This window comes from Homo sapiens, chromosome 20 (genome assembly GCF_000001405.40).
Source record: "Homo sapiens chromosome 20, GRCh38.p14 Primary Assembly".
Taxonomy (NCBI): Eukaryota; Metazoa; Chordata; class Mammalia; order Primates; family Hominidae; genus Homo; species Homo sapiens.
Window position 1 is genome coordinate 21,806,122 of NC_000020.11, and position 6,616 is coordinate 21,812,737.

Below are 6,616 nucleotides of genomic sequence, written 5' to 3' on the forward strand. Positions count from 1 at the left end.
CTTCCAGTCCAGGATTGTCAAACTTCAGAGAGCAGAGGGAATCTGAAAGAAAGGGTGGAGAAGGCTAATGATCTTATTGTGACAATTCCTGCTGAATGGATCCAATGAGAGAATCACTGTTCTGCTTGCTCATGTATTGTTTTAGTTTGTTGCAATAAAATAAATATTTGCATGGAGGGGAAAAATGGCTTGATTTTCCCTGGTATTGTTTCCTTTAATAGGATCTCTTTCTCTCCCAGCCCGTTCCTGTTGATGTCTTGGTTGGGGTGGCCCCCTGACTTTCATTTTTCTGCATCTCAAGTTCCAAATTTGAAGCCTGATGATCTGTCAGTCAGGGTCTCCAGAGAAACAGAATCAATAGGGGGAGCGGGAGAAGAAAGAGAGAGAGAGAGAGAAAGAGAGAGAGAGAGAGAGAGAGAGAGAGATCTGTTTTAAATAAATGATGTATGCAACTGTGTGGCTGTTAAGTCTGAAGTTTGCAGGGCAGTCCTGTAGGCTTGAATCCAAAGGCAGTCCAGAGGGAGAATTTTCTCCTTTTATGCAGGGACCTCAGTCTTTTCTCTTAAGGCCATCAACCGATGAGACAAGGTCCACCCACAGTGTGATGGGGAATCTGCTTTACTCAAAGCCCATCGAGTCCAATGTTAATCTCATCCAAACACACCCTCACAGCAACATCTAGACTGGTGTTTGACCAAACAGCTGTTGGGTACCATAGCCTAGCCAAGTTGACACATAAACTTAATCATCATGGGATCAGTCCCACCATGCCCCATGCCCATCTTTGGACCAGTGTTCTAGCCTCCTGCCTGTTCAGGTGAGTTATGGGAGAAAACTTAGGACCCCATGCAAATGCAGACTTTCTTTTACATTGTAAATACCACTGACATTCTTGCTCATCCAACTGGGACATTTTTGCCATTCAGTTTGTCAAGCAAATATAACGATGCATATTTTCAGCACACACTTCCACTGTTTAGCAGATGGCACATCTGAAACATGGTACATGGGTGTAGGCAATTATTTGACTCCCTAGTGCCATATGGTGACATATTCCTTCTTGTGATACTAGAATATAAATATGTTAAATGTTTTGTGTATGTGTGTATGTGTGTGTAGGCATATGCGTCACATCTGGAATCTCAAAAATATCAAGGAGCCAGATGTATATTCATATGATCATATGTGTATATACACGTATACTATCCACTCCTTTAACATAGTAACAGCTTACATTTTTATCCTTTGGTTTTATTGAAGGATCCTGTAAATGAATAAAACCATAAGAAAACATATGGAAGAACAGTCAAATAGGTTATAAATATAATCAACACTGTTTTAACAGCATCACAGAGCAAGCATGGAGGGAATGATATTTTATTGATTATTTAGAGCCTAAGCCAGGCCTTGTGCAACGCATTTCTCATGTATAATCTTATCTGACCTCATGAAGGAGGATTTTCCTTAAACTGGGGAGTCTGAGGCTTAGCAAATGAATCGCACAACCAGGATTTGAACTAAAGTTTACCTTCATCTAAATACGCGTTTTTCTTTCTCTCTCTCTCTTTTTTTTTTTTTACCCCTATCGCATCATAGCCACATCTGTGGCCACACAAGAAATACTTTCCCAACACTCAGTAGCTAATTATTCATAAGGTTTTAGGGTGACGGTGGGCCATGTGCAGAGATGCTTTGAAAGACTTCCAGGAAAATCATGCTTTATGGCTTAGAATTTGGGGACATGACTGTACCTGAATTGAGATGGACAGGAAATCATTTCTCCCTCCTTCCTGCTTCAGCACACCCCTCTTCCCACTCAAGAGATTCTGGAGACGCTTCAAGGCCATCTCCTTGCCAGATGCCTCTGTTTTAGAAAAGTCATTTCAAGTGCCCCAAGGAGAATGGATTGGAGGGGATCACGTTGGGAGACTGAACATGTAACACAGGTGGGATATGATGGAGATGGGAGTTGGTGGGAGGCCATCTGGGTAGTATAATCTACCAGACTTGGGGGTAGGTGGCCTGGCAAATTGGGGGAGTTAGGCCAAAGATGACTCCCAAGTTTCTGGTTTTGGCCGTGGGGTAGATGGAGACAAGGTTGGGAGGACAGATAGTTCGCTTTGAGTCTGTGGAGCTGGAGGTGCCTGTGGCCACCTGGGTGGTGATGTGGCCTCCAGGAGGGAGCTGGCATGGAGATGGAGCTCCAGGAGCCACAGTGACTGGCATAGTGCCAGGTTTCTAATAGGTGTGCAATAAATATTTGTGAAATGCATGGGATGTGGGGGGTGTTGAGCCAGGCACGTAGACTGGGTTGGAACAGGGAGCTGACAGGTCTGCCTCTGAAGGCTGTTACTGTCTGCTTAGTAGCAGGGGTTGTTATCTGTTGGTGGGGAGGAGTGGGTGGTGATGTCTTAGGATTGAGCCGAGAGGAGCACTATGAGCTGGCCAACTATTTGAAGGAAGTGGGTCAATGACAAAGGATCCACTTTGTCAAAGACAAATGGGAATGACAAAGGGAGCCCTGGGCTGTGTCAAGGGCCTGGTTGAGGTTGATGCTGGAAATCATCAACCATCAACCATCATCAAACATGGTGGTTCCAGCCCACTAGGTGTTACGATGTTGTCAGCAGGTGTGGGCTTGGGTCCACGTAGCAGCAGTTGGATTGATTAGTGGTTGGGGTCTCACTGGGTACGTGCCATAAAAGTGAGGCAAGAAAGTTGATGTGATGGACAGGAATGGGGCTGATGGGATAGACTGGGAGGTCCCAGAACACAGGAGAAGAAGGGCCTGCTGCAGTTGAGGAAGTTGAGCTCTCAGTGAGCAGAAGGAAAAGCGAGGTGGGTGCAACCAAGCGACTAAGGGGGCAGGAAAGGGGCTTCCGGTAAGAGTCGAAGTGTGAATTTTAATTTCGGTGGTTCTAGGGATGGCAAGATCCAAGGTGTAGCCAAGTGAAAGAGTTGCCAAGGTGGGATGGAGAGGGAGGTCGCTGGAGGTGAGCAGCCCAGGACCTGCAGATGAGAAGTGGGATTAGTGGTCCCCAGAAATGCCGTGTTCCAAGGGGAAGCCGGCGGTGGGCAAAGGACTAGCAGAGGGTTCAGTCCGAAGCCGCCACCAGGGGGCGCGAGAGAGCAGCAAGCCGTAACAGCTCGCGTAAAAGGCGGGAGCTGGGGCTTCCTGGGGGTTCCCTAGAAGCGGACCTCGAGACAAGGTCCTGGGTGCAAGCGGTTTATTTGGGGGATGGCTGCAGGAGGCACAGGGTAGGAGCAGGGCTGGCAGGGAAGGGAGAGAAGGGAGGAAGGGCAGTGAAGAGCACAAGGATGGAGGGGCTACTCCCGGGCCTGTGTGCAGAGCCTCAGCCCTGGCTCTGTCAGGCAGAAGGAGCTCCCGACACCTCTGTCATCTGCTGGCTGCGGAGAACCTGGGGCTGACGCCGTCCTCCGGGACCTCCATCCAGAAAAGGGCCACAGAGGCTGAGGGCGTCGGGGCGGGCACTCCAGGGTCTTATTCTGTTTGGGCTGCTATGGACGAAATGCTGTAGACGGAGTGGCTTAGCAACGACAGAACATTATTTCTCACAGTTTTGGAGTCTGGAAAGTCCAAGATCGAGGTGCTAACAGGTTAGGTGTCTGGTGGAGCCTGCATCTTGGTTCCCGGTGGCGCCTTCTCTCTGCCCTCACGTGGGCGAGGGAGCAGGCTGGGGCCTCCTTTATACCGTCGCGAATCCCAGTCACGGGCTCCGACCTCAAAACATAACCTCCGTCCAAAGGCCCCACCTCCTAATACCAGCGCATGGGTGATTCGGTTTCCCGATGCGAATGCGGGAGACACACTCAGTCCGCAGCTGCCAGGTCTCCTGTTGGGCGAGATGGGTGTGGGAGGGGCAGGAGGAGTGTCAGGACCCGAGCGGGATGCTGTGGATGACAAGGGAGCTGCTCTCACCTCCCCGCCCCGAGACAGATGAGGCACTCGAGGACCTGCAGCAGGCCTCAGAGAGGGCTAGGACCAGGGAGGGGCTGCGGATGGAGAGCAGAGTGACGGCCTAGAAAGGAGGTTCCCGAGGGCTCTGGGGAGGCGGAAGAGGGGACGCGGTGTGTTGAGATATGGGGAGAAGTTCAGAGCAGCATGGGCATGCAGGTGCCTGCAGAGGGGCCCATCTGGGCTGCACCCCAGCAGGACAGGGCCATGGCTTGGTGTGGGTTCGGCTGGCTGCACAGCTTCTTGCAAAGTTTGTCCCCAGGGTCCTTGGGAGTAGAGGTCTTTCGGAAGGCACCATCTCCAGAGCGTGTTTCTGAGTAACTCTGAGGATGGGTTCCGGGTTATCACTGTGTGTTGGAAACAGCAGCGCCCAGGCTGCCGGAGGAGGCTGGTCTCCCTGGCAGGTCCTGGCTGTGTCTAGAGTTTTGTGGGTCCTGGAGATAAGGCTCCGGTTTGAGGCCCCTGGGGCTGGCATGTCCCAGGGGAATGGCCAGAGCCAGTTCTCTGTGTTCTGAGGCTGTTTCTTTAGTTTCCTGCCAGAGAGTGTAGCCTCAAATGTGCTGCCTGACTTTCATCCAGCGCTAGACTGGGATGGATAAGAAGGACTTCTTTACTTTTTGTCATTTTCATGTTTTAAAAATTGACATAATCCTTTCCTCAAATGGGGCATTATATCCAACCTAATATACAAACAGATTTAGGTGGAGCTGCTGGGAGAAAGGGTTCTGAATGTCAGATTCACCGTCCATCCACTGCCACCTTCCCAAGTGGCCAAATGGAACCCAGTTTGAAAACCACCATTTCCGATAGGTTAAATCTACCCCAAATTGGAGCCATCATCAGACAGCCATGTACAGACATACTCTTGCTTTGGGTCCTGGAGAACCATGCGTGCAGGGTTGCATTTGGGTCTGAGTTTGCTGAGGACTGCCCATGGGTAGCATCATGTGGAGTGTGCGTTGTGTTCATTGGGCCTGTGTGTCATGAAGACACTGTGTACTGTTCATACAGAGACCCTTTGATGAGACACCACAAGAGAAACTCCTTGTAGGAGCCTCTGGCAGAAGAAAAATGGTTTTCTTTTGAGCTACCAGATTAAAAAAAAATTGTGGTTCCCCTGAATCCTATAACAGCATTTGTCTGCCTGCAAAGCTCAGCTCCAGGTTTGTAGGCCACCCAACTTAAGCCTTTGTGAACACATTTTTGGGAACTGATGCTACCCTGGACTTCACTGAACTATCTTACTTCATTTTTCCTTTACTCGTCTTTATTTAATAGTTTTATTGAATTATTTATGTAAATCTCACCTCATCATGCTTAGAAAAATGAAAGAAAAATTGTCTTTGGAACTGTAGGGAACTTGGACAATTTGAGGTTGGTTAAACTTGGGTTCCCAAGGGGCAGCATCCGAGACAAGGATTTGAATGAAGGGGTCCCAGGGGGTGTGAGCAGGGGAGTGGGGAAGTGGGGCAGGGAAGGGGAGGAACCTTGGCAGTGGTGAAGAGCTTACCACTCTGGGCAGCTAGGCTCAGTCCTGCGGGGACTTCTGGGAGAGTGGGCAGAACACTCCTCAGAGTGGTTCCATGGAAGAGCAGGGGGTTGGGGGCTATTTCTCCACCAGCTCCCATTATTCATGGTTTAAGCTTGGCTCCTGGGCATGTCAATTGCCTGGCACTTCTGTCCAGCCCTGCATGTGGGCCACACATGCTGCTGGGGCCAAAGAATGCCTTCTAGCCAAAAGTCACATGTGTTTGCCATAGGAAGTGGCAGCTGGTACAGGAAAGTGAGAGCCAAGGGTGTACAAATGGAGCACCAATAGTGTGGACTGCAAGGGTCTTCTGGAAGAGTTGACATACAAATGCCCTCATTTACTCAGTGCCTGTTGATGGTTCCTTCTGAGACCCCTAATGCAATGTTTATAATGCAGACTGAAAGAACTTGAGGAGCTCAAGTGAAAACTATCATCATCTTTCCTCTTTTGTTGTAACATCTACATGCGAATGTCATGTCACAGGTGCTACTGTTTATACACAAATCCTGACCGATCTCCCAGTGGCTCTCGCAGTGCAAGGTTAGCAGGAAGCCGAGTTGTTTCCCTGAGTCGTCCTTTACGGATCTGGAGGGCTGATTTTGTGTTTATATAAATTGGTCCTGGATGTTCTCCCTCCCTCTGAGGGAGCAGGAGCTCGGGTACACTCAGGGGTCAGTCTGGGACGTCTGTTCTCAGAGCAAGGTGCACAGGACATTAAGGGATGCTGTTGCTTGTGGCTTGCCCACCCGAGGTCGGTGAGCTTGTGGGTCTGGGTCTGCTGCTCCCCCATTTGCCCCTCACAGCCAGGCTTTACACAAACTTCTTACATCCTCACAGCTCAGCCAAGACCAGGCCATAACCCTTGATGAGTCTTTACTGAAGGTTCTGGAGTGACCAAGTTACAATATGAAAAGCCACTCATTCCTCCTACTGGAAGTGTCTGTGTACACAGCTCCTGACAGTTCCTGCCTGCCTGGCTCCTAGCCCAGTGCTGTTAGAAATCTTTCCCAAACAGCTCTACCTTTTTGAAAGTCCAGACCCTTGACATCCATCTCTCCCTACTGCTCAGAATTGTCTGTATCTATCTTTTACCAATGGGGGAAAGGAAA

General features: G+C 49.7%; 2 annotated features.

Moving 5' to 3' along the window:
• Positions 3,065 to 3,871: an enhancer, noted in NCBI's record as "H3K4me1 hESC enhancer chr20:21789824-21790630 (GRCh37/hg19 assembly coordinates)". NCBI's record gives its function as "activates a minimal SCP1, AML or CMV promoter by ChIP-STARR-seq in naive H9 embryonic stem cells {active_cell/tissue: H9 hESC(naive)}" and the evidence as "EXISTENCE:reporter gene assay evidence [ECO:0000049][PMID:30033119]".
• Positions 3,872 to 4,677: an enhancer, noted in NCBI's record as "H3K4me1 hESC enhancer chr20:21790631-21791436 (GRCh37/hg19 assembly coordinates)". NCBI's record gives its function as "activates a minimal SCP1, AML or CMV promoter by ChIP-STARR-seq in naive H9 embryonic stem cells {active_cell/tissue: H9 hESC(naive)}" and the evidence as "EXISTENCE:reporter gene assay evidence [ECO:0000049][PMID:30033119]".